The 27,925-nt window shown below is 45.9% G+C and overlaps 1 protein-coding gene and 1 long non-coding RNA gene across 4 annotated transcripts in view, besides 3 other annotated features; one reads left to right on the top strand and one right to left on the bottom strand.

Annotated features, from left to right (window-relative positions):
* Window positions 1-18,270, bottom strand: part of TBC1D8 (TBC1 domain family member 8) — a 144,155-nt gene extending 125,885 nt beyond the window's left edge. For all 3 annotated transcript variants that reach the window (NR_138475.2, NM_001102426.3, NM_001330348.2), the window contains exon 1: window positions 18,015-18,270. Coding sequence is in view for 2 of the 3 variants with exons in the window: in NM_001102426.3 (NP_001095896.1) it covers window positions 18,015-18,141 (127 nt within the window). In the remaining variant the exon portion in view is untranslated. The remainder of the gene's footprint in view (window positions 1-18,014) is intronic.
* Window positions 18,037-18,386: a silencer, noted in NCBI's record as "silent region_11820". NCBI's record gives its function as "represses an Ori minimal core promoter by ATAC-STARR-seq in GM12878 lymphoblastoid cells {active_cell/tissue: GM12878}" and the evidence as "EXISTENCE:reporter gene assay evidence [ECO:0000049][PMID:35858748]".
* On the top strand, window positions 18,548-22,300 carry TBC1D8-AS1 (TBC1D8 antisense RNA 1). Its single transcript, NR_135594.1, has 2 exons — window positions 18,548-19,647; window positions 20,923-22,300. It is a non-coding gene; the product is annotated as a TBC1D8 antisense RNA 1 (long non-coding RNA).
* Window positions 18,974-19,474: an enhancer, noted in NCBI's record as "NANOG-H3K4me1 hESC enhancer chr2:101768548-101769048 (GRCh37/hg19 assembly coordinates)". NCBI's record gives its function as "activates a minimal SCP1, AML or CMV promoter by ChIP-STARR-seq in primed H9 embryonic stem cells {active_cell/tissue: H9 hESC(primed)}" and the evidence as "EXISTENCE:reporter gene assay evidence [ECO:0000049][PMID:30033119]".
* Window positions 25,836-27,035: an enhancer, noted in NCBI's record as "MED14-independent group 3 enhancer chr2:101775410-101776609 (GRCh37/hg19 assembly coordinates)". NCBI's record gives its function as "activates an origin of replication core promoter dependent on BRD2, BRD4, P300/CBP and CDK7 cofactors, and independent of MED14, by STARR-seq in HCT116 cells {active_cell/tissue: HCT116}" and the evidence as "EXISTENCE:reporter gene assay evidence [ECO:0000049][PMID:35650434]".

Consider the following 27,925-nt stretch of genomic DNA (forward strand, 5'->3'; position numbering starts at 1 on the left):
TCGAGCCACTGCACTCCAGCCTGGGTGACAGTGCGAGACTCCATCTCAAAAAAAAAAAAAAAAGTATATCTCTCTGAACATGTAAGCAATAAGAAAATTATCTAACTTAGACAATTCTGATTCTAAATAAAACTTTTCAGAAATGCATATAGAAATATTAATCACATAGCATATTAGAATGAGCACTGCCAAATGCTTCTGGGATCATGATCTCTTTTTGTGTGAGTCCATTTGCCATTCAAGTCTCTCTCTGAGATATTCGCTCCCTTCCCCTCTCCCTCTCTCCTCTCTTTCCATCTTCCCTCTCTCCCTGTCTTAGTCCATTTCGGATGCTATAACAAAATCTCCACTACCTGGATAGCTTATAAATAACATAAATTTACTTCCCATGGTTCTGGAAGCTGGGAAATCCAAGATCAAGGCACCAGCAGATTTGGTGTCTGGTGAGGGGGGTTCACAGATGGTGGCTTCATGCTGTGTCTTCACAAGGTGGGTAGGGAGAGGGAGCTCTCTGGGGTCTCTTTCTAAGAGCACTAATCACAATCAGGAAGGCTCCACCCTCATAACCTAATCACCTCCAAGGAATCTACCTCCAGTACTATGACCTTAGGGGGTTGTATTAGTCCATTTTCACTCTGCTATTAATATAAAGAACTTCCCTGAGACTGGGCAATTAATAAAGGATAGAGGTTTAACTGACTCACAGCTCTGCATGGCTGGGGAGGCTGCAGGAAACTTACAATCAGGGTGGAAGGCTAAGGGGAAGCAGGCACCGCCTTCACAAGTCAGCAGGACAGAGAGAGTGTGTGAAAGTGGAACTATCTAACACTTATAAAACCATCAGATCTTGTGAGAACTCACTCACTATCATGAGAACAGCATGGAGGAAAACCACCCCCATGATCCAATCACCTCCCTCCCTCGACATGTGGGGATTACAATTTGAGATGAGATTTGTGTGGGGACACAGAGCCAAACCCTATCAGGGTTAGAATTTCAACAATGAATTTGGAGGGGGGACATAAATATTCACACTTTAGCACTCCCTCTCTTCTCTTTCTCTCTCTCTCTCTCTCTCTCTCTCTCACACACACACACACACACACACACACACACACACACAGACTTTCTAATGATCTTTCTGGTATAAATGGATGCTAACCTCTGGGGCCTCTGTCTCATCTTGGGTCTTAGTATGTTCAGGCACCATCAATACTAATCAGATCTCTGGCTTTGCCTAAGTTAGAGTCTTTATAAATTTTAATTCAAAGAAAGTAAACAAATTTACATTACATTATATGATTCTAACTTGTCTTAGCTCAGGCTGCTATAACAAAATACCACAGACTGAGTGGCTTAAACTGCAGAAGTTTATTTTCTCATGGCTCTGGAGGCTGGAAGTCCAAAATCAAGGGGCTAGCAAATGTGATGTCTAGTGAGGGTTCTCTTCTTGGCTTGCAGACAGCCACCTTCTCATAGTGTCCTCACATGGCAGAGAGGGTAAGCTCTCTGGTGACTGTCCCTCTTCTTATAAAGGGAACAGCCCTATAGGATCAGGGCCCTGCCCTTATGGCTTCAGTTAACCTTAGTTACCTCCCTGCAGGCACTATCTTCAAATATAGTCACACTGGAGGTCACAGCTTCAACACAGTAATTTAGGGGGCAGGGGGACACATTCAATCCACAACATAACTTAACTTTTGGTATTAATACAGAATGTTGAAATCTGGCTTTCCAGGTTGCACATGAAGTTAAAACCAAACAGAAAAAGCCATATTTGGCCGGGCACGGTGGCTCACGCCTGTAATCCCAGCACTTTGGGAGGCCGAGGCAGGTGGATCACAAGGTCAGGAGTTCAAGACTAGCCTGGCCAACATAGTGAAACCCCGTCTCTACTAAAAATACAATAATTAGCCGGGTGTGGTGGCGGGCGCCTGCAGTCCCAGCTACTCAGGAGGCTGAGGCAGGAGAATGGCATGAACCCGGGAGGCAGAGCTTGCAGTGAGCCGAGATCGCGCCACTGCACTCCAGCCTGGGCGACAGAGCGAGACTCCGTCTCAAAAAAAGAAAAAAGAAACAAGAAAAAAGAAAAAGCCGTTTTTACAGTGAGATACACGTCTTGTCAAAGAGAACCTTCCAGTTCTACAAGAGGCTCTCCAACCCCTTTTCTCCTCAAATCTAAATGTTTTATTTGGCTAAATGAAGACAATCAAAAGGCTGAAAGACGAAACAACATCTTCTTAGTACAGACCTTTTTGTTATAAGCCATCTGAACAGCAGAAAACAGAATTGTAGCTCAACTAATAAAAAAAAAAAAATGCCACCACCAACCTCACCTAACAGCAATCCCCCATGTAATATACCAAATGTAGGCATGATCACTGCTGGCCTCACCTGACTGTGAAGCCACCTCAAATGTTCTACGTGGAGGCGCAGTTGGCGTTATGGAGTAGGTCACGTGAATACATCACATTCAGCGATATGCACTGTCCAAACAAAGAGCAGGGAACAACAATTCAAACCAACTGCCCACCATCAGGGAGCACAGGCCCTGGCCTGAGTTCATGGAAGGGCTGGAATTCCCCAGGTCTCTAGGGGTCCTCACTTCCCAGGCCCTCCTGATAACATGAGCAGATTGCAAAAAGACAGGTAGCTTGCTGATTTCTGCAGTCGTTTTTCCCTCAAGCAATGTTTGTTCTTCATGTTGATTTTGGAACCTGATTTTGTTTGGATGTTTGTCTCATACAGGTCTCAGGTTGAAATTTGGTTTTTTGGTTTTTGTGTTTTTGAGAAGGATCTTACTGTCACCCTGGCTTGGTTCACTGCAACCTCTGCCTCAGGGCTCAAGTGATCCTCCAACCTCAGCCTCCCAAGTAGCTGGGACTACAGGCAGGCACCACCACGCCTGGCTAATTTTGGTATTTTTTTGTAGAGAAAGGGTTTCACCATGTTGCCTAGGCTGGTCTCCTGGACTCAAGTGATCCGGCAGCCTCTGCCTCCCAAAGTGCTGAGATTACAGCATGAGCCACTGGCCTGGCCTCACGTTGAAATTTGATCTCCAGTGTTAGAGGTGGAGCCTGGTGGGAGGTGTTTGGGCCATGGGGGTGGATCCTTCATAAAAGGCTTGATGCTGTCTTGGTGGCAATGAGTGAGTTTTCACTCTATTAGTGCCTATAAGAACTGATTGTTAAAACGAACCTGGCACCTACCCCTACCCTCACCATGTGATCTGTGTACACAGGGGCTCCCCTTCACCTTCCATCATGAGTGGAAGCTTCCTGAGGCCTCACCAGAAGCAGACGCCAGGACCATGATTCTTGTACAGCCTGCAGACCTGCAAGCCAAATAAAATTCTTTTCTTTATAAATTCCCAGCCTCAGGTATTCTAAAGGACTGAAAGAGAACCGAATCCCCACATTAACAGACAGCTACATAATACTGGGATTAAACATGGTCCAATTTGGAGCCTAAGTGAGCATCAAAGCCTTCCTTTACCTCAAAAATCTAAAGGAAGCTACAGGTTAAAATAAAAACACACGAGTATGCACACTTGTGCATACATACAATTTTGGGACACTGGATTTACGAAGATCTAGTCTGACCCTTCACTCCAGCCAAACCCTTGCCATGGCTGAATCCTTGATGATGAATGATCACGAGCTATACATTCTGTAAGCAATCTTAATGCCTTGCTTACGTTTCACATTTATTTTTAATTATAATAACAAAACAGCAATATAACAGATACTCAGAACCCATTTAACTCTCTATGCTCCCATGGTGGGTAAAATACCTACATCTCCATCTGAGGCTGCGCAATGCTCTTTACGCCTTTTTAAAGTGTTTCTGTCAAGCAAACACTGTTTTTCAAGCAAGAAAGCCCAGAAGCTTTCTAAACCATTCATCACTAGGCTAATTCTTTTTTTTTTTTTTTTTTTTGAGACAGTTTGGCTTTTGTCGCCCAGGCTGGAGTGCAATGGCGCGATCTCGGCTCATCACAACCTCCGCCTCCCAGGTTCAAGTGATTCTACTGCCTCAGCCTCCCAAGTAGCTGGGATTACAGGCGTGTGCCACCACGCCCAGCTAATTTTTGTATTTTTAGTAGAGACGGAGTTTCACCATGTTGGTCAGGCTGGAGTCGAACTCCTGACCTCCAATGATCCGCCCACCCCAGCCTCCCAAAGTGCTGGGATTACAGGCGTGAGCCACCACGTTTTTGAGACGGAGTCTCGCACTCTCGCCCAAGCTGGAGTGCAGTGGCATGATCTCGGCTCACTGCAAGCTCCGCCTCCCGGGTTCACGCCATTCTCCTGCCTCAGCCTCTCGAGTAGCTGGGACTACAGGCGCCCGCCACCACACCCGGCAAATTTTTTGTATTTTTAGTAGAGACGGGGTTTCACCGTGTTAGCTAGGATGGTCTCGATCTCCTGACCATGTGATCCGCCCACCTTGGCCTCCCAAAGTGCTGGGATTTGAAATGACTTTTAATCTGTATAGTCCTTCTGGAAATAGATATTTTTTGAATCCTGACAGTATTATTTCTAACAAAATACTAAATACATCTAAGCTGAGAAACATACTGAGTGGAGTTAGTTTCCTACCAGCATTTACCCCAGACAAGACAGTACAGGGGTGTCCTACATGCAGGCTCCATGTGACATGAAATGCCAAACCAGTAACATTACATTTTTAAGCTGCCACAGTCTCCTCAAAGAACTCTTTTTGCCAGGTGAAAACATCACTGTATAGTGCTAAGCCAACAGACTTGGGTTCTGTATGAGTTCATTCTCTTACTGCTATAAAGAAATACCCGCGACTGGGTAATTTCTAAAGAAAAGAGGTTTAATTGGCTCACAGTTCCACAGGCTGTACAGGAAGCATGGCTGGAGAGGCCTCAGGGAGTTTTCACTCATGGCAGAAGGCAAAGTGAGAGCAGGCATCTTCATACGACCGGAGCAGGAGGAAGAGGGAGAGGGGGAAGGTGCTACACACTTTTAAAGAACCAGACCTTGGGAGATCTCTATCACGAGAACAGCACCAAAGGGGAAATCCACCCTCATGATCCAATCACCTCCCACCAGGCCCCACCTCCAACACTGGGGATTACAATTTGACATGAAAATTGGGTGGGGACACAGATCCAAACCACATCAGGTTCCATTTAAATTAGTTAATTGTTTTGGTGGTAAAAGAAAAAAACATTATCCTTTACTATTCACATTTGTGACACTAAATGTATGGGGAGTTTTCCCATACCAACCAATTCTCCAACTCTCCAGATGCCACCTGGGTGTTCTACAATTCCATTCAATTCTGACACTAACTACCTGGAATTAGTGCAGGTTAAAGGCTCGGTCCCACGAGACTGGCCCCATTTCAGACGCCAGTCACAAGCCCAAGGCTGTCACCTGCACTTCCGACCAACCAGCTACAAGTCAGGGGTTCCCATAACCCCATCCTCAGGTTTGATAATTTGCCGGGATGGCTCACAGAAACACATTTCCCAGCTTATTATGTAATAAAGAATATGATCAAGGATACAGAAGACAGCCAGATGAAGAGATACACAGGGCGGGGTGTACTGGAGGGGACGTGGCACTTCTGTGCCCTCTCTGGGTGGGCTACCCTCCATGTGTTCAACAGCCCTGGAGCTCCCCAAACCCTAGAGTCCAGGGATTCTTAAGGTGGCTTCACCACCACCACCTGAGCATGACTGATCATTAATCTCCAGCCCCTGCTCCTTCCCAGAGAATGGAGGTGGGGCTGAAATCCCCAAGCTTCAAATCTGTTCTTGCTGGTGACCAGTCTCCACCCAGGAGCCCACCAAGAGTCACCTCATTAGAACAAAAGATGCTCCCATCACCCAGGAAATTCCAAAGGATTAGGAGCTCTGTGCCAGGAACAAGAAGCAGAGGCCAAACAAGAAATACATTTCTTAATATGTCACAGGTAGTCAGAGACAGATTCTTCCATGCATTTTTTTTTTCAGTAGTGAGTACTAACCCCATTTCTAAAACAACATTCCTCCGGAACTGGCTCCTGAGGTTCCCTCACTTGGATGAGGTGAACTACTCCCTCGACCTATTCAAATCTTTCCCCAGCCTGTCTCAAGACCCAGCAGCTTGGCCCCAAATCTACACTTGTGGATCCAGCATTCAACAGAGACTCCATTCATTGACAAATAATAAATATGTATCCAAAAACAAAAAACAACAAAAAAAAAAACACCACCACATCCCACCTTGAGAGAACTGCCTTCATCCGCCATCCCTACTTCCTCGCCACCCTCCAGTCTCCAGCCCGCTCCCACGCCACATCTGCCTGCATCCAAGCTGCTGTGGCTGAGGTCTCCAAGGTCTTCCTAGCCTTTTCCATACTGCAATGCAGAGCAGACCCCTCCCTCCTTCTCACATACACTTCCTCCTGGCTTCAGGGAAAATACACTGCTGAGGCCCTCCTGCCCCTTGCCCATGCCTCAGTCCCCTCTGCCCTTTCCTCCTCTACAGGCCTTTCTAGACAAGTCCCAGGTATCCCACACTTAACTTGTCCAAAACAGACTCTCGGAGGCCTCAGGACCTTTGCACATGCCATTTCCTCTGCTCAGACGGCTCTTTTCCCAACTTCTCACCAGCTACCACCCTCCTGCACACCATGCAGGTCTCAGTGGAGATCACAGCTCCTCAGAGACAGCTCCCTGATGTTCCAACCCAAATTCATTTCCTTCTTATTCTCTCTCGCATCCCCTGGCACTCACCACCATTGATAACTCAGTGTTTCGTGGCTTAGTATCACCCCACAATCACGACTACAAACTCCACCTCTCCAGACTATAAGCTGCATGACAGCACAGGGCCTGGCACTGCTGAATAAAATGCTCTTTGGGTTTCTTTCTGCTGCTTTATCTACAAGTAATTTCATTGATTTAACCAACATATTTAGAAAACATAACAGTTTGAAGCATAAAACCTCCCCCACAGCAAAAACTTTCATTATTTTTATGCAATCGTTGCTACTGTTTTACAGGTTAATAAACTGAGACCCTACAAAGAGTGGGTTATGGTCACAGAACCCCTCTTTAAAGTTGAGAAAGAAGACAAAGATCATGAGCTTGCAACTCTAAACCTATTTCCTCTACTGAGAGAGGGAATAAAATCCAGAATAGATATCTTTAATTTCAAATAAAAGTACCTGACTAAATTAGATTTCTGAAATTTAAAACATTTCTGAAAACAGTTTTAAAAGCTTCTGTAAAATGACACACCCCACGCATGCTAGACATTTTGAAGGCTAAATATAGCACACTGAGAGGACAAATAGCTGACACACAGGCGTCCGGGGAAAATCACGGCCCCTGGGCAATGAGGGGACACAGCTTCAATGACTTCCTGATCGCCACTACCCAAACAGAGCTGCCCACCAGAAAAAATGCCAAGCTCTCCCTGAGTTTAGATTCTGTCTGCATTATATCAACGTTACAGGTACGTGTCAATCAGCATATAATTCTGCAAGGCTCATGAGAAACACAAACAGTCCCCTTATTCCTTGCTGCTCCCACTTACCAACTCCCCAAAGGCAACCTCTTCCAACTCTTAATGGATTATTTTTGTATCCACCTTCGCATCTCCAAATAACACATCTATATTACTACTTTTTTTTTTTTTTTTTTTGAGACAGAGTTTCACTCTTGTCGCTCAGGCTGGAGTGCAATGGCACAATCTCAGCTCACTGCAACCTCCGTCTCCGGGTTCAAGCCATTCTCCTGTCTCAGCCTCCAGAGTAGCTGGGATTACAGGGATGCGCCACCATGCCTGGCTAATTTTTGTATTTTTAGTAAAGACGGGGTTTCACCACGTTGGCCAGGCTGGTCTCAAACCTCCGACCTCAGGTGATCCACCCACCTCAGCCTCCCGAAGTGCTAGGATTACAGGCGTGAGCCACCGTGCCCAGCCTACTTCTTGGATATTTAGTGTAGGCATTAGCTGTCAACTTTCAGAAGTGGAGGCTTTAGCTCCCTTTCACTGACTACCACCCGAGACCCAACACTCACACCCCAGTTATGCAATAATTTCAGTTAGATCGTGAGTCAATATTTACATTATTATAACTACAAAAACATTAACAAGAGCTGAGTTTTGCAGCAAAACTACAGTACTTTTTCCACACTATACAACTTTTTATTTTCCCTGGAGTTAACAACTATCCCAGAATTTCTGACTTACTCAGCTTTCCATCTATGGATAATCTAACCACAAATTCTCCCCTGATGTGCAGATCTTCATTCAATATGTGCAAACACACTTTACAGTCTATCACTTTCTCTTCTCCTAGAAGTTGTCCTGCAGCCTCCTGCCAGGCTCCAATCTAGACTGAACGCTGGGTTGGGGGAGGGAAGAAGAGAGGTTCTCACTGACATCTCAGGATTTCCCTTCACCATCATCTTAGAGATTCCCCTCCAAGCAGCTCTTCTTAAACAAGTAACAAAAAGAATAAACTCTGAAGGAAAAAGATCTTGCCAGAAAAGATCTAGGTAAATTAATTAATTAAAACAAAAGGGAAAAGACTGATACATCTGACTGCATGAAAATTAACAATGTGAGTTCAAAAAACCTACAATGAAAATAAAAAGCCTGACTTTAAAAAAAAATACATACAATTGAAAAAGAATACAGAAAAACCACACATGAAGGCGCGCACACACACACACACACACACATACACAAGGCTCATAAAAAAAACTAAAAAAAAGGTAAGCCAACAAAAAAAATGAGCAAAAGACTCAAGTATTTCTCAGAAGGAAAAACAAATACTTAATGAACACATAAAAATATTCTCATCCCTATTAGTAACAATGAGAAATAGTATCTTAGTGGTTCTAAGATACTATGTAAATACCTACCAGATTGGCAAAAAGTAACATCTCTGACAATATCAAGCATTAGCAAGGATGTACCACTGTGGGAAGTTTTTTCTTAGAGACAGTGGTCTCACTATGTTGCCCAGGCTGGACTTAAACTCCTAGGTTCAAGCAATCCACTTGCCTCAGCCTCCCAAGTAGATGGGATTATAGGCATGCACCACCATGCTCTGCTTGGAAACAATTTGGAATTATCTAGAAAGGTTGAAAATACACATAGCTATGACCCAGTATTAGGGCTGTTCACAAAAGTCCCAGTTCTCCGTCAGAAGAGATCCTTGCTGACCCACATTGAATATACAGCATGACAGAGAAATAAATTTATGTGTCGGGGTGTTTGTTACTGCAGCATAACCTAACTCATCCTGATGGATACACCCAACAAGGTCACTCATAGAAATATTCTCTAGAGAAATGTATACCTGTGTGAACACTACAGGAAAATGTTCACAGCAGCTTTATCTACTAAAACAACTACAACCCAAATATCCAAGGACAGGAGAATGAATAAATAATAATACATTCACTCAATGGATTACTACACATCCATGAAAATGAATGAACCACGGCAGCTACCATGGGTCAAAGTGAGAAAAACATAATGCAGGGGGTGGGGTGATCAAGTGACAGAAAAATACATAAAGCATGAATAAAAGTATATTTTGTAATAAAGTTACAAAAACACACAAAACTGAACTATGTATTGATTACGAATACATATAAATGTGTTAAAACTATAAAGAAAAGCAAGTCAGTATTAACACATAATCCAGGGTAGTGGTGCCTGCAAGGAAGGGAGGGAAATGTAATCAGGAAAACACAGAAGGGGTCTCTCAGGCATAGGATATACTCTTATTTTTTTACTTACAGGTGGTAGATATATAGTGTTTGCTCCATTACCTACAACTTACCTTAAATACTCTTATGCACACCGAAAAGTTCCTAACTAAGAAACAAACCATAAAATGCAGTACCTTTTCATAAGGATATCTTACTAAGGCACTGTTTATTTTATTGTTGATTTTTCTTTCCTTTCCTTTTTTTTTTTTTTCTTGAGACAGAGTCTCACCCTGTCACCCAGAGTGGAGTGCAATGGCGAGATCTCGGCTCACTGCAACCTCCGCCTCCCGGGTTCAAACGGTTCCCCTGCCTCAGCCTCCCAAGTGGCTGGGATTACAGGTGCCCGCCACCACACCCAGCTTAGTTTTGTATTTTTAGTAGAGATGGGGTTTCACCATGATGGCCAGGCTGGTCTCGAACTGCTGACCTCGTGATCTGCCCACCTCGGCCTCCGAAAGTGCTGGGATTACAGACATGAGCCACCACGCACAGACACCTTTCCTTTTTTTTAAAGTAAAAAGCAGGAAGCAGGAAAATAATAAAATCCAGTAGAATGAAAGACTCACCAAATGTTAAAGAATATGGATGACTCAAATTCATACACATGTGCTTGTTGGCTGGTGATACACTAGAGGAATAAGTCTGGTTCTGTATGGAATCATTTACATCAAGGTTACCAATAGGTAGTTCTTCCCCCGCCGCCCCTACCCCTTGAGAGGGTCTCACTCCAATGTCCAGGCGGGAGTGCAGTGGTACGATCACAGTTCACTGCAGCCTCAACCTCCAGGGCTCAGGTGATTCTTTCACCTCAGCCTCCCAAGTAGCTAGGACTACAGGCACACGCCACCATGCTCGGCTAATTTTCTGTATTTTTTTGTAGAGTCAGGATTTTGCTATGTTGCCCAGGCTGGTTTTAAACTCCTGGGCTCAAGCAATCCACCCACCTTGGCTCCCAAAGTGCTAGGACTACAGGCGTGAGCCCCCTTGCCCGGCATCAACAGGTAGTCCTAACAGCTGGGCTGGTTCAGCCACAAACTACTGCTAGTCCTTACAGCACACAGTGCTGGTATAAGACAGTTAAGAACACCACTCTATTATTTATTCCTGCATTCTACATAATTTCCATTTGCAGGATGATACACACAAAACACTTCTCAACTGCACAGGCTCACATCTATCCATTTTACTTGATATGTACAACTTGATATCTCCTACATGACATCTACATGAAGTTTGTACTTGATCCCCTCAAGATTGTACTACTTGATGTCTACATCCATGTATTTCACAAATATTTATCAAGAGTGCTCTGGTGACAAGAACCATCAGCACTAAAGGCACAGGAGAGAGGGGCACAGACCTATGACCTCCCTCCTGGAGCTCAGGATCTGGTTCACCCTAAACAGACAAACCCTCAAAGAGCCTCTTCATGACTACAGTGGTGGGAGTAGGGGAAGGGTCAGGTACATCTCCAGGAAGTGGAGCTCAGGCGGAGCCCCAAAGGTTCACAAGAATTAGCCAGATGCTTGGGGGTGGGGGAGGAGACAGCCATGAGGGGCCTGGGAGAGAAAAGTGCCAACATGCTGCAGGGTCTGTGCTTAAGAGCAGAAGGGGGAAGAGAGGCAACCCAAGAGGTGGTTCAGGGGCAGCGCCTGCAACCCCCAACAGTGATTAAAATAGGCTCACGGCTGCTTTTTAATACCATTGATGTAAGTTTTTAAAATAGGGGGAAAAAATCCATGCTGAAAGAATTACCAGATTTACTTTCATTTTAAATAAATTCCTCTTGGCCGGGCGCGGTGGCTCACGCCTGTAATCCTAGCACTTTGGAAGGCCTAGGCGGGCAGATTGCCTGAGCTCAGGAGTTCGAGACAAGCCTGGGCAACAATGGTGAAACCCTGTCTCTACTAAAATACAAAAAATTAGCCGGGTGTGGTGGTGCGTGCCTGTAGTCCCAGCTACTCAGGAGGCTGAGGCAGAAGAATCGCTTGAACCCAGGAGGTGGAGGTTGCAGTGAGCCAAGATCACGCCACTGCACTCCAGCCTGGGCAACAGAGCGAGACTCTGTCTCCAAAAATAAAAATAAAAATAAATAAATTCCTCCTTTATCCAGTGCCACCTAAAATGTGGAGTCAAGATCATAAAATCCTTCTGCCTTCACTTCTAGTAAATGAATTCTTTACAAGCTACCAGCCTCTCAATAATTGTCAGCTCTTCCTAAGGAGTTCCAATTAGGTGGAAAAGGCCACCCTCCAGTATCCCACCACCTGCACAATTTGTACCTTATATTATCTCCTGGAGTGACACAGTCCGTGCCTTGTTTGATTATCTCATTACAAATACATTGCCCTTATTATGCTCTCACTAAATGCAACTCTTGGAAACCTCAAGGCTTTTATTAATAGATTATCAGCCCCTAAAGATATATCAGTTATTTAACTTAATTTTTCAGATGTATGATCCTAAAATCAAACTACTTCCTTTACTTGTGGTTTCTTCCCTATTATGCTTTTAAGAAAAAATACCAAAGCATGTAAGACTCTGGAGCCAACATCTGGGACTTCTATAGAATGCAACAGGCTGCCCTGTTAAGTCAAAGACTTTCACTGTTGGAGGAGACAAAATTCACCAACAAACTCAGCTATATGAGCAGGACTCCAGCCAACCTCAGACAGACTAGCCAAGAAATGCAACATCCATGCTGGACTTCATCAGTTTCCAACCTTCTGATAAGAGTCCTTCTGAGCAAGCCTTGTAACCCCACATGAATCCTTAGCCTGTCAGTTTCACCTCCCCCAGTCATTAGGACACTCTTCCAAAGGCAGTAGGTGATTCACTGGAGGCACAGCATGAGCACTCACACTCAACATTTGAAACAAGGTGAAGCTCCCTTTACTCACTACGATTTAATGTGGTGAGAGGAGCCGTGTGCCCAAATCCTATAAAAACACCTTTCTCCTGAGCAATTCTTAACCCAAGCTGTTGTTTAAATATTTCATCTTTTAATTACACATATTAAATACTGCACTAATAGATAAGTGAATGTTTCTTATGTCCTTCACTACAATGCAAATGTTTTTACACCTTTATTCTCAGAAGCCATTATTCAGTTTTTTTAAATTGTACTTTGCTTTTCTTCTGTCAAACCTACCAGGTGCCAAGCACAATTAAGCCCTTGATGTATACTGTTTATTAATTCTAAGCCTTATTTTAATCATAACCATTATGCATTGCTGATGGGAATGAAAAATGGTACCGCTGCTGTAGAAAACAGTCTCTAACCCTCCGAAGTAAGATTCATTATTGTCCCTTTCTTAAGGCTGAGTTATAACTAAGGCTCAAAGAAACTGGATAAACTAACTCAAAGCCTCTCAGTCCAGATTCTTAATGAACAGACTTACTTACCTTGACTCCAAAGGTTGTATTTTACACTATTTTTCACTATACCATACTTCCTCCCTTCACCCTAACTGTTTAGGTAATCAGCCCATCACTACTACAAATGCAATGACAGGAACAGGGACTTAAGGTAACCATGTTGCAAAGCAGAAAACATCAATTCAAATTACAACTTTTAAATTGTCAGCCAATTTAAGAGAAGAATTGCAAGATTATACAGGAATACACGCAATAAAACCCTGAAAAATCAAATCCTTCAGAGGACACAGCTGGGTGGTGATATTTGTTATTTAGAGTAATGTTTATTCCACTCACTATTTTTTAATTATCACACTGTAATTGTACATATTTATGGGATACAATTTGATGTTTCAATACTCATATATGTTACATAATTATCCAATTCGGGTAGTTAGCATATCCATTACCTCATGCAATTATCATTTCTTTGTGGTGAGAACATTCAAAGGCTTCTCATTCTCATAGCTATTCTGTAATACACGGTACCACCACAGTCACCCTACTGTGCAAGAAAACAGCAGAACTTACTTCTCCTATCTAACTGTAACTCTGTACCTGTTGACCAACCTCTCCCTATCCATCTTCTCCCATCCTGGTAACCACTGTTCTACTCTCTGCTTTTATAATACCAACTTTTTAAGATTACACATATAAGTGGGATCATGCAGTATTTGTCTTTCTGTGCCTGGCTTATTTCACTTAACACGATGTCCTCTTCCAGGTTCATCCATGTTGTTGCAAATGCGCCAGGCACGGTGGCTCACACCTGTAATCCCAGTGCTTTGAGAGGCCGAGGCCGAGGCCGAGGCAGGAGGATGGCTTGAGGTCAAGAGTTCAAGACCATGTTGTCGCAAATGATAGGATTTCATTCTTTCGTATAGTTGAATAGTGTTCTGTTGTATATATCTCACATTTTCCTTATTTATCTCTTGTTGGACACTTAGGTCGATTCCGTATCTTGGCTATTGTAAATAGTGATGCAATAAATACAGGAACGCAGGTATCTCTTCAACATACTGATTTCATTTCCTTCGAATATATACCCAGTAGCGGGACGGCAGGATCATGCAGCAGCTACATTTTCAGTTTTTTGAAGACCCTCCATACTGTCCTCCATAGTGGCAATATTAACTTACAATCCTACCAAGTGTGAGTGTTCCCTTTTCTGCATATCCTCACCAACACGTTTTTCCTTTGTCTTTTCAATAATAGCCATTCTAAGAAAAACATTAATTAAATAAACAAGTAATAGCCATTCTAACTGGAGTGCGGTATTTCCTTGTGGTTTTGATGTGCCTTTCCCTGATGATTAGTGATGCTGGGCATGTTTGATGTACCTGTTAGCCATCTGTATGTCTTCTTCTGAAAAATGCCTATTAATGTCTTTTGCTCATTTTTCAATCCAGTTATTAGATTTTTTTGCTCTTGAGCTATTTAAGTTCCTTATTATCCCACTCACTTGAAGTGCTTCAGAGACCCTGGGAGAGAGGGCAGCAATGTTGTGTGTTCTTTCTCTGCACAGTCTCTTTCCCACATGCTAACATCTCCGGGCTCTTTGTTCTCCCAGAGCTGGCTGAACTTGTTACAAGAGGTTGGAGACTGTATCAAAGTGAACACTGTATAACTTTATTTCCTTTCCAGAGTAGCAATATCACTTCCGCAAGCAGAAGTTTGGAAACATCTCATAATCCTGAATTCTGCCATGCTATGCTCTAACCTGAGGAAAAGATGGGCACCTCCCTAGTAGTGCTCAGAGCCCAGGAGCTAACAATGGCAGCCACATCTGTGCCCGCCCTTTCTGGCCACCAGAGAAGTTAGTGTGATGATCCATCCCCCTCAAAAGAGGGAGCTACAAAAAAAGACTGGAGGAAACAATTGTGTTTCCCACCCACACCCCTCCAGCTTTCCATAATGGTCAGACTGCCAGGTAAACAGGAAGCTGAGAAGAGACAGGGGTTGTTCCTGTTCCAGGCAATCAGTCCGAAATGCTGGGCCTCTACTCCCACCCAACTTTTAAGAAAAAAGTGGGATCCATCATCCATGCATACAGTCACCCATCCATTCATCCTACAAATGTTTCCTGAACAAATATGCTGGGTACTATCACAGGTAAATACCTGCCCTCATAGAACAGGCAATTTAGCAATGAAAAAAATAAATTGGTATATTGTAAGAGAAAGTGAGAAGGAACTATGGAGAGAAATAAACCTGGAGATGTGAAGAGAGGGAGAGAAAAAGAGAGAGAGAGCATGTATATGCATGTATGTAAGCAGGAGGGCCGATTTTAATCCTCAAGGAAACAAAAGCTGATAGTATTTCTGAAGTTAGGCAATTAAGATTACTTCAACCACCAGATCTCCTCTGTCTAAACTCCTACTAATACAAATTCAGCATCACAATAAAGGAAAAGAGATGTTTATTGATTACTGCTCTCTTACATTTTACTTCCAATCCCCCTTAGGCCACCACTGCTTGCTTCCCTCCAAACAAAAGTCTACAACCTGCCAGAATGTGTATCACTGTAGCCCTCATTCTTTTCATAAACTCAATCTAGGTTTTAAACTCTTAAATTGCTAACAATCTGCCACATTAGAATTGCACATTTTCCAAAAACCGCCACCACCACAGAGCTGCCCTGTGTCCCATGGGTCTTGACTTTACCACAATCCTAAGTGGTCCCATGAAGACCAGCCCCCCACAGCACACGTGGCAGGTCAGCGCTGCTTCATCGGCATTGGCTTCCCAGCTAAATGCTCAAAGGTAAAGTGTCTGGCTGCACATGTCATCCTTTTCAAAATCAACAGGGTCTCCAAGAAATACATCAAGTGTCCTCTTTTTGTAGACTTTTCCCTCTTTATGGTCGATCTTGTTGCATTTAAGCATAAGAAAATTCTGCACATTCACAGTAAGTCCAAACCGAAGTAAATATCAAGGAATGCCAGAGCCACAGGTATAATAATAATATGGGACCTGCTTGATTTTGGAATGAAACAGGGAGGGAATTCACTGAGTTCATCACAGAGACTCTGGACAACAGAGTCAGAAACCCTCTGGACAGGAAGCGGGCTTGAAGCCAGGCATCCTATGGCCAGCTCTGCCCTCCGTGTCTGGAACCATCTCACCCACTAACTAGATGGTGAATCGGCTGAAGGTAGCCGGCCCTCACCGCCTGCTCTCGGGCCTCTTTCCAGAGCAGCGAGCAGAGTATCCTACATATGTGCACGGAACTCAGTGAATGAATGAGCGTTTACGGGACAAACTGTCCTTATGTTTCTCACTTCACAAATCTTCAGGCCTTGTCCTCACTCTCTACTAAATGAAACATTTATAGACCAGGAACCCTGCTAAATGCACCATAAATAAAGATACACTGCCCTCAAAGAAAGGGAGGGACGACAAATTCCTGCCTCTTCGCCTCTTCCCAGGGCACCACCCACCTCCATTTCCTGAGAGCCTGGGCACTAAGCACCAGGGTGCGTCACGGGGCCCAACAAGGCCACTGTGGCCCCTGCCTCCTGCACAACTCCCTCCCCCAAAGCTCAAAACAGCTCCTGGAGCAGGCCCACGTGCTGCCCAAGTTGCCCAAGTTGAGTCCTTGTTGCCACTCAACAGGACCACTGGTTACCAAAGCACCGCCTCCGTCCAGAATCCTAACTACACTCTGCCCCTTCCATGGGGAACCCTCAGCTGCCTACAGCTCCCTCCATGCAGCAACCTGCCAACTCCCACCCACTCACCCGGTCTCAGTGTAAGTCTGCACTCCTCTAACAAACCCAACCGCCAGCTTTCTCAGAAGCTAAAGTCCAGCAAAATCCAGTTCCTTTGCACTTGGTTCTGCGGTTTCCAGGCGTGTTAGTACATCTCCTACCAGACTCAACCTCAAAAAGGCCTTCCCTAGACTGGTCTGAGAGCAGAAAGAGCCGCCAACCACTAACCCGGGGACCTAACCTAGGTCCTTTGACCTCTCTCTGGCCTCTGTCTTCTCCTCAGTAGAACAGGAACAAGACAGGAGATCTAAGCTCTCTTTTATTCCGATTCCAAAATTGGAAAGAAAAATATAGGCCCCCTAGATACAAATGAAAAAGTCTAATTGTTCCTTCACTGACCTTTAAACAGGTGTCCTAGCTACTGCAAGTTGGCGTCAATTTCAAAGAGCTTTGGAACAAAACTTTTAGAAAAAAAATGCTTTGTTTTATCATCAACTTTACGAGCCTGGGTTTTTTTTCCTATCATTCCTTGTAAGACACTGAAAGAGAGGAAAAAACTGATCTGTTCAATTTCTCTACTGAGATCACGAGCTTGGGATTCGCCCACCCTCAGTTTCCCCTCCGGGCGTGGAGACAGTTCCCGCTCACCGCGGCCTCCAAGAGCTGCGCCCCGCGCGCATCGCCGCGCGCCCCCAGCCACGACACCACCTGGAGCCTCCGGCGCCTCCAGATGGCCGAGTCCGGGCTGGCTCGGCGCACCCCGCTGTCACCTGGCCCCACACAGCAGCCTCGCTGCTCCAGGGCGGCCCCGAGCCCTCCGGCCCCGCTCCACCCGGCGTTTCTCCTTCGATTCCCAAGTCGAGTCCGGCCTCCAGCTCACCGGGCCAGGCGGCGAAGACACCTGCCTCGCCCGGAAAACGCACGCGCCCGGGAGCCCCCTCTACCACCACCTCGACGGGAGCCCGCGGGAGAAACGCAGAAAAAAGGAAAACAAGCCCGCGGCAGGGCCGTCCGGGCCCCGCGTCTCCCAAGAAATCGCCTCTGGCGACGCAGCCCGGGACTGGGGGCCGCGGGCCCGGCGGGGTGCGAGGCCCCGGGCCCGGCCGCCGCGCCCGCCCCGGCGAGCCCCTTACCGGTGAGGCGGCCGCCCCCCTCGCCGTGCCCGCGGCGCCGCTGCAGGATGAAGTAGCAGCTGCTCTTCTGGGTCACCCAGAGCTTCAGCGCGTTCTTCAGCAGCACCTCCTCGGGCTTGAGCCACATCGCGGCGGTCCGGCCGCGCCCGCCGGCCCCAGCTCACATCTCCCCGGCCGCCGGTCGCTGTGAGCCGAGCCCGCTCGAGAGGCGACGGCGGCGCGCGGGGACCACAGCCCGGCCGGTGCCCAGCGCTCTGAGAGCCCGCGGAGCGCAGCAGGCGCAGCTAGCCCCGCGCACCCAGCGCGGCCCTCACGTGGCCCCGCCCCGCACCCGCCCCTGGCCCCGCCCCGCACCCGCCCCTGGCCCCTCTCCAGCCGCCGGCCCCGCCCCCGACCGCCCCTACCCCGCGGCTCCCGCGGCGCCTCCCGGGTTTCCGCGTCCAAGGCGCTCCGGCGCGCAGTTCCGGAGTGGAGGGAGGAAGTCCAATCCTGCGCCAGGCTCCCTCCCTCCCGCCTCTCCGCGCTCTCAGGGGGAACTCGGGAGAGCTGCCGTCCCTGACCTCGACCTGAGACGTGGAGGAGGGACAGGGAAAAAGCCTTCTTCTCGCAGCTGCAGGTTGCCCCACCGAGGGCATTTTTCCGCACCGAGGGGGCGGGGGGCAGAATGCACGCCAGAAAACCTAAGTGCGCTGGGTTTAAAATAGCAACAACAACAAAAATTACAAATAACCAAAAAACAGCATAAGAATTAAAAACAGTTATATTCCAATGTTTTTAATACTTGGTTCACATTTTGGATGCTCTCCCCAGGGATCCGACGGCGCTGCGGAGGCGGCAGCGATGTTTGGGATCCTAAAGAAAGCATCAGACCAGACTCAGGTCTGGACGTCCCTCAAGTGGCCCGGAGGTACCGATATTAGTGTCACCGCCGTCAGTGCCCTGCCCAGAAATAAAACCTTTGTTCTGAGAGAAATTGAAAAGCTGGAAAATATGGAGTAGGCGATGTGAAGAGAAACTACAGGGAATGTAGAGGTCGGGTTTTAAATGCGTATTTCCTCAAGGATGTTGTGGAAGCAGAGACAAGGTGGCTGGCCTGGAGCAGGCTGGAGGACCTCCAAGGATCTCCACAGGGAGGCAGTTACATTTAACACCCTACCTAGCAAAAGAAGAAAAGAACAACCCCATGAAAACATCCCTGGGGTTTTAACAAAGGAATCCCTGACAAAACGTGACTGATAACTAGGACAGAACTGAAAAGTGGAAGTAAAGTCAATCCCGACCCCCCAGGACGCCTGGGAACTCAGGGAAGCGCCTCCAGAAGGGAACAGCTCAGAAACCCTGACCAGACCTGGCGGACAAGAACCGTGTGGGCGGGGGACAGGAACGCCCACCCAGAGGCCGGGAGAGCATGGTCCAGGACTGGCAGCCACTAACAGCCTCTGAATGAAACTGAGGAAGGAAGTCAATGGTAATCGGGACCATTAGGGTGCACCAGGGCATATAGAACAGTCGGGGACGGTAAGAAAACATTCCTTCCAGAGACATTCACTGGCACCTCCCGCGCAGACACACTGCCAGGCCCGGGAATCGCAGAGATGAACTGGGAGACTTGTCTGCCCTGGAGAACTCACAGGTAGGAAAATGAGGCAGAAAAGAGCCGTAGGCTTCCTAACAGGAGCCCACGCAGGGGGGCAGTGAGCAGAGAGCAATGCGCAGACCGCGTGGTCAGTTCTTGGGGGGAGGGAATTGAGAAAGTCCCACAGAACAGCTGTTGCTAGATCAGTACTTGAATATGAGTTTGACAGGAGGTCAAGTAGGGGAGGTCATGTCTGGTAAATGGATGAGCACAGATGACCTTGTGGTTTAGAGCAGCCTCTGGTGGCTGACAGCCCCAAATGGAATCCTGCAACTGCTGCTAATTAGCTGTGTGATCTTGACCTTGGGCAAGATACCAATCTCAATGAGCCTCAGTTTACTCAACTATAAAATTAGGATAATCGTAGTGCCTCCCTTGTAGGAACTATCAAGAGCATACTGTAGTAAGTACTTAGAACACAAAGTAAGTACTCAGTGAACATCAGCCATTATTATTAAATGTTCAAAAACTTCTGAAAGGGTTCACACACGCTCACCCATGTTTTAAACATTATTCAGCTCTGATCTGCCAAATATTAAATATGAAAGAAGCACGGAGAGGGATATGAAAGTCATTGGGAAGGCATGGGAGGGTACTATGAGGTACTGTGTTTCTATTATCTCTCTCCCACCTCCGAAGCTCCTGCCTGTGCCATTACCCAAGTCAAACAGAAGCCAATAGGAGGCAAGGGGTCACAGGCTGCAGTCTGCGGCAGTCAGCCTCCCAGACACACAACAAGGTGGAGGAGGGTGAAGAGGGGATCTGGAGGAGCGGGTGGAGAAAATCCGGCAGAGCCCTACCCACTTCCCGCTGTTGCTCATCTCTACGTTCTCATCACCCTTGATGGTGTTACAGGTTGACTTATGTCTCCCCAAATTCATATGTTGAGGTCCTAACTCCCAGCAACTCAGAATGTGACCTTATCTGAAAAAAGGATGATTACAGATGTAATTAGTTAAGATCAGGTTATTAGGGTGGCCCCTAATCCATAATGACTGGTGTCCTTATAAAAAGAGGAAATTTGGGAAGACAAATCCACAGGGAGAACACCATGAGAAGATTAGAGTTGTGCTGCTACAAGCCAAAGAACTGCCAGAAGCCGGGAGAGGGGCCTGAAATAGATCCTTCCCTGCCGACAACCTTGATCTCAGATGTCTAGCTCCCAGAACTGGGAGATAATACATTTCTGTTGTTTAAGCTACCTCCCTTCTCGTACTTTGTTACAGCTGTCCTAGCAAATTAATCCAGTTGCCTCTGTAATCCTGCCCACAGCTGTTGAGCAGCAAATCTCTTCAACCTTTCGGAGATGGACTGCATTTCCTACCAAGACCCTGGCTGATAGCAGAGTGACCCCAGGAAACACAGTTCCTCAATTGTGGGATTCTGGCTGGGTTACCCACAGATTCGTGCGTGCATAGCGAACAAAAGGGATGCTAGTAACCCGTGGCATGGAGGGGCAGCAGGATTACTCCAGTTAGCACTGGGAATAGTGTGAGGGGCATATGGACCACAAAGCTTTGGGGGCTTTTGCTGCTGTTGCTCTTGATTGCTATGGCAACAGTAATAATTATAAAGATTGTAGAGTGAAATGGATGTTTCTGACTGCCCTGGAGAGTTTTTAAACAATGGAAGAGATAAACATGAAGTATTAAATTCTTATTTTAAGGTACAGATATGCTGAAATCCAAAGAACCATTTATCTGGGATAGGCACAGGACAGAATAAGTTCATCTTCAGATACTAAATATAATTGTACAGATTACAGAATTGTGGCAAAGGTTAAGTGCTCAACCTCAGCAAGTTCTCTTGCTAAGATTAGGACACTGATTGGGAAGGAGTAGGACCATAGACTTGTGATAGGAACATTTGGACAGACACAGACAAAGCCGAATTCCCAAATCTCAAGGCTCCCTTGTATACAGAAGCAGCCCCGCCTCCCCTGTGCAAGGAAATTAGCCTTCACATACACTAAGAGCTTTCAAGACTTCACTGGGGCCTCTGCCTCCCACATGGATGCCTGTTCTCCTCCAAACTTGCCCCTGATGCACCTCATTGACTCCAGGAGCATAACAAGAATAAACTCTCTACAGAGCCCAGAAGGAGAAATGCAAGGTCAGCCAGAGAAGAGGAGGATGGAAATAGATTATATACCACGAAAGCTGGAAAATCTTGCCAATATGTGTTGCAGAGAAGCTGAGAACTGTGTATGGGAATGGATTCTAAAGTGTTAGACTAAGGAGGATGAAATACTAGGTTAGGCCAGGCATGGTGGCTCACACCTATATTCCCAGCACTTTGGAAGGCAGAGACAGGAGGATAGCTTGAGGCCAGGAGTTCAGGACCAGCCTCGGCAACGCGGTGAGACACCGTCTCTACAAAAAATGTAAAAATTAGCCACGTGTGGTGGTGCACGCGTGCCTCTGGTCCCAGCTGCTCAAAGGCTGAGGTGGGAGGATCATTTGAACCTAGGAGGTCAAGGCTGCAGAGACCTATAATGGCACCATTGCACTTCAGCCTGGTGACAGAGCAAGACCCTGTCTCGAATAAAATATAAAGTAAGATTCAGCAAAATTTATGAATATGCATACATTCCCCTGGGATTTATGATTTAGTGTGTTATATATTGGAGTGATTAAAATGTTTTAGACAACGTGGTGATGTTTCTTTTCTTTTTTTTTTTTAATTGCGATGGAGTCTCGTTCTGTTGCCCAGGCTGGAGTGTGGTGGCATGATCTCTGCTCACTGCAACCTCCACCTCCCAGGTTCTCGTGCCTCAGCCTCCTGAGTAGCTGAGACTACAGGCGCACTGCACCACGCCCGGCTAATTTTTTTGTATTTTTAGTAGAGATGGAGTTTTGCCATGTTGGTGAGAATGGTCTCAAACTCCTAACCTCAGGTGATCCACCTGCCTCCGCCTCCCAAAGTTCTGGGATTACAGGTGTGAGCCACTGCACCCAGCGATGTTTCTTAATATACTATGAATATACAGAAAACGCTGAATACTTTATTTTTTTTTTATTTATTTTTTGTGAGATGGAGTCTCGCTCTTGTCGCCCAGGCTGGAGTGCAGTGGCGCGATCTCAGCTCACTGCAACCTCCACCTCCCGGGTTCAAGTGATTCTCCTGTCTCAGCCTCCTGAGTAGCTGGGATTACAGGCATATGCCACCATGCCCGGCTAATTTTTGTATTTTTAGTAGAGATGGGGTTTCGCCATGTTGACCAGGCTGGTCTTGAACTCCTGACCTCAGGTGATCTGCCCACTTTGGCCTCCCAAAGCGCTGGGATTACAGGCTTGAGCCACCGCACCCGCCCCACGCTGAATAGTTTAAAAGGTAATTTGTGGAAAACAGATCATAATGCACATGACTCTTGTCCAAAGCAATGCAAATAAACTTTGGTCCATAAAGACATCCTATAGAATATTAATTAGTTTTGCATCCACTAGCAAATTTACTGGGCATTCCTCACTAATATCCATGTCTATACCTATATATCTGTTCTTTGAATTCTCCTTTGAACTAATCTTAACGTCTTACTGATTCCCTCATTAATGAATGAGTCGAATAAAATCTTTGATCCATGTTCATTTTATATTTACAATGAGAATCATGCTTTTAACTTTTTGGAAATTATTCTTTAGCAGTAGAAGACAGGGAACAGGACTGGTAGGGTGTTGAAAATATTTTGTTAGCCAGGCACGGTGGCTCACGCCTGTAATCCCAGCACTTTGGGAGGCCAAGGCAGGCAGATCACGAGGTCAGGAGATCAAGACCATCCTGGCTAACACAGTGAAACCCTGTCTCTACTAAAAATACAAAAATTAGCCGTGCATGGTGGTAGACGCCTGTAGTCCCAGCTACACGGGAGGCTGAGACAGGAGAATGGCGTGAACCCGGAAGGCGGAGCTTGCAGTGAGCCGAGTTTGCGCCACTGCACTCCGGCCTGGGCGATGGAGCAAGACTCCATCTCAAAAAAATAAAAATAAAATAAAATAAATATTTTGTTGTAGTTGAAAGATGGAAAAAAGAGAAGCCAGGGACAGTGGCTCACACCTGCAACCCCAGCACTTTGGGAGGCTGAGACAGGAGGATCACTTGAGGCCAGGAGTTTGAGACCAGCCTGGGCAACATAGTGAGACCCCATCTCTACCAAACCAAAAAAAAAAAAAGGAGAGATAAGAGAAAAGGACCCTCAAGGCGGGGTATGGTGACTCACGCCTGTAATTCCAGCACTTTGGGAGGACAGCAGGCAGATCATGAAGTCAGGAGTTCGAGACAAGCCTGGCCAACATAGTGATACCTCGTCTCTACAAAAATACAAAAATTAGCTGGGCATGGTGGCGCACGTCTGTAGTCCCAGCTACTAGGGAGGCTGAAGCGGGAGAATCGCTTAAACCTGGGAGGCGGAGCTTGCAGTGAGCCGAGATCACGCCACTGCACTCCAGCCCAGGCAACAGAGTGAGACTCCATCTCAAAAAATAAATAAATAAAATAAAGAGAAAATGACCTTCAAAGATACTTTTGCTCTCCTATCCAGGATACAAATACCCCACTAAACATACTCTCTGGCCCCAAGAAAAGATACTAGGCCCTTAGACCTTGGCAAAACCTTGAGAAATAGACCCAACCTCTAGGACACCTCTCTCCTCTGAGAGCACCCAAAGCGCAGTGACATCTCCCTGATGTGGTCCCCCTCACGTGCTGACTGGCAGTCTGAGAAAGGTCACAGAAAGATGAGCACACCGCATGTCCTGCCGTGGGATGGCAAGCATTCAGAGATGAAAGCACACCACTCATTCAACACTTCACTGCCAGCATTTGCTTGTAGTTAATCTGAACTCAGCTGGCAGGTGACTGGCCGAACTCATCATTGGTTTGGCGAGAAGTACCAAAAATCCCTTGTTGTACAGGTGAAGGAAACTGCACACACAAAGCCTATCCATGTGACGATTACTTCCACTTGGGGGTGAGAGGTGGTGCTGGGCCGGGACTTCTTTTCCTAGATCCAGGACCTGGCTCCTAGGTCTCTGTCCTAGCAGCCCAGCCTGCCCATGTCAGCCGTTCCAGACAGCAATCACCAGCCCCTTGCCCTTCCCTTCATACACGCAGAGGAGGAAGAAGGAAAAGGAGAGAGAAATGGGGAAGAAAAACTGAATATTCTGAAATGTTAGACCCAATATAAAAAAGCAACGGTAAGGCATTTCTGGTTTTCCTTCATAATTAATACTCTTTTTATTTTATTTTATTTTTATTTTCTTGAGACTCTGTTGCTCTGTTGCCCAGGCTGTAGTACAGTGGCACCATGTCAGCTCACTGCAACCTCTGCCTCCCGGGTTCAAGTGATTCTCCCCCCTCAGCCTCCCAAGTAGCTGGGACCACAGGCATGCACCACCACACCCAGCTAATTTTTGTATTTTTAGTAGAGATGGGGTTTCACCATGTTGGCCAGGCTGGTCTCAAAACTCCTGACCTCAGGTGATCTCCTGCCTCGACCTTCCAAAGTGCTGAGATTACAGGCGTGAGCCACCACACCCGGCTCATAATACTCTTTAGTTCTTAATAGAATTGTCACTTATGTTACCTACAAGCTTCTGTTAGTGTCCAGATACCTACTAAATGTAGTTGTTTTTTGGTTTTTCATTGATTTAGTTTTTTAATCTTTAAAATAATTTTTAAAATGTATGCTTTTGATATTATTGATTTCCTTTTGAAAACTGCTATCACATTTTCCTCGTTGACTTTTGGCTCACATTTCTAGCTCGATTCCTTGTCTGAAGCATGATTTTGTATTTCCTCTTATAACATGAATGCTGTGAAGGACAGATCATTGGCCCAGGCTGCAGCTTCTCTCCCACTTCTGACAGCTCAGTTGTAAGGTAACAGGCAATGAAGGAGCCCTCTGTGTGTGCTCACACCTTTTGCCACAGTGCCTTCCACCCAATGGGCGCAAAGCACACTCAAAATCAGTCACAAGAAGCCCAGAAATAAGCTAACAAGTTTCAAGGGATTTGCAAAGTCAAGAAACAGCCATTGAATATGTTCAACAGACTAGCACTGTGAGAAATTCCTGGGATTCAAAAAAAATTGTAGGCCCGGTGCAGTTGCTCATGCCTGTAAACCCAGCACTTTAGAAGGCCGAATGGGGCGGATCACCTGAGGTCATGAATTTGAGACCAGCCTGGCCAACACAGTGAAACTCTGTCTCTACTGAAAATACAAAAATTAGCCGGGCATGGTGGCAGGCGCCTGTAATCCCAGCTACTCGAGAGGCTGAGGCATGAGAATTGCTTGAACTCAGGAGGTGGAGGTTGCAGTGAGCTGAGATCACACCATTGCTCTCCAGCCTGGGCAACAGAACGAGACTGTCTCAAAATAAATAAATAAATGCTGGTTCCTGGCTTTATATCATGGTAGGAGGAGTTTCCTCCAAGGGAAAAGAACACTGTTGGAGGACTACTATATACTAAGCTCTGTGCTTGTACTTTCAACAGGTATCTCACTTATTTCTCACAATAAATCTAAAAGAAAATTAAAATTAGTCCCATTTTACAGATGAGAAAACTCAGCCCACAGAAAAGTTTAGAAACTTGCCAATATCACATACCTGCTACATGGCAGAACCAGGATTTGCTCCCAGGCTTTTCTGAATCTCAGCCCCCAATGCTCTTTCCATTAATGAACAGTTTAAGTTGGTTTCAGTCTTATTAATGGAAGGAGAGTGGCATCTATTTTTTTCCTTAGCATTACTTTCAATAAAGATTAGAGCCATCATCCAAATAACATGCGCTTCGAAGGAGGCAGATATGGATTCAGAAATCTTTCCCTAGCTCCTAGCTTTGCAACCACAGGCAAGTTCCTTAATCTCTTACAATTTCAGTTTCTTCACAGGGATACCTATGTCTCTCTAAGATATTATAAGGCTTAAGTGAAGTAACCTAAGTCATACACCTACCTCAGGCTTGTCCTGGGCATGTCTTCTAAATAGCAACTGTTATAATCACCTCTGGGTTATTCTAACCCTGGCCCTGGGTATAACTGTGACATATCTCACCTCTGTCTGCAATTCTGAAATTGCTTTTGTATCCTGCAGACTGAAGGACCTTCCCCAGCATTCTTCCAAGCACAGTGAGAGGCAAGCACCCCAGGAAAGGATGATAGCAACTCAGAAATAATGACCTCTCCACATTGAATCTCTATTGCAAACAAATATTAGTTAGTTTGGTTATGTGTAACCACTAGATTCTTTTTGCTAAATGTCGGTAGCTACTAGTGGTTTGAAATAAGCGAGGGTGTAGATATGCCTTTCATCACCACCGTGTACTCAAAAGAGTTAATTTGTTAAAATGGAAGCAAGTCTCTTAAATTTTGCAGCACACTCAAGCATGTATTAAACATTTATTAGAGACCAGGAACAGTGGCTCACACCTGTAATCCCAGCACTTTGGGAAGTCGAGGCAGGAGGATTATGTGAGCCCAAGAGTTTGAGGCCAGCCTGGGCAACATGGCAAGACCCTTTCTCTTAAAAAAAAAAAAAAAATTTTAATTAGCTGGGCATGGTGGCATGTACCTGTAGTCCCAGCTACTCAGGAGACTGAGGCCAGAGGGTCACTTGAGCATAGGAAGTCAAGGCTTCAGTGATACATGTTCATGCCACTGTATTCTAGCCAGGGTGACAGAGCAAGTCCCTGTCCCAAAAAAATGTACCCCATAAATATATACACCTACTATGTACCCATAAAAATTTAAAAAAATTAAAACTCATTTATTAGAAAGAGAGCCCAAGATAACCCTATATCCTGTTCTGTAAGCTCCTGAAGTCTCAAGTCTTTGACCACAACTTGCATTAAATGTTTACTCAAAGTAAAAATGTGACTATATCCTAGAAGTAACTTCATAGTTGGCACCAGGCAACCAGAATGCTTTGAGTCAGAAGCTGGACATGGGCCCATTTAGGTCAAGCCTCAAATGCCATTCTAGGAGGGGGAGGGACAAACGCCTTGCTACCAACCAATGTTTTGGGTTTTTGTTTTGTTTTGTTTGTTTGTTTGTTTGTTTGTTTAAATGAGACGGAGTCTCGCTCTGTCACCCAGGCTGGAGGGCAGTGGCATGATCTCGGCTCACTGCAAACTCTGCCTCCCGAGTTCAAGCAATTCTCTCCCTCAGCCTCCCGAGTAGCTGGAATTACAGGTGCCCACCACCATGCCTGGCTGATTTTTGTATTTTTAGTAGAGACGGGGTTTCACCATCTTGGTCAGGCTGGTCTTGAACTCCTGAC

The sequence above is a fragment of the Homo sapiens genome, chromosome 2 (genome assembly GCF_000001405.40).
Source record: "Homo sapiens chromosome 2, GRCh38.p14 Primary Assembly".
Classification (NCBI taxonomy): Eukaryota; Metazoa; Chordata; class Mammalia; order Primates; family Hominidae; genus Homo; species Homo sapiens.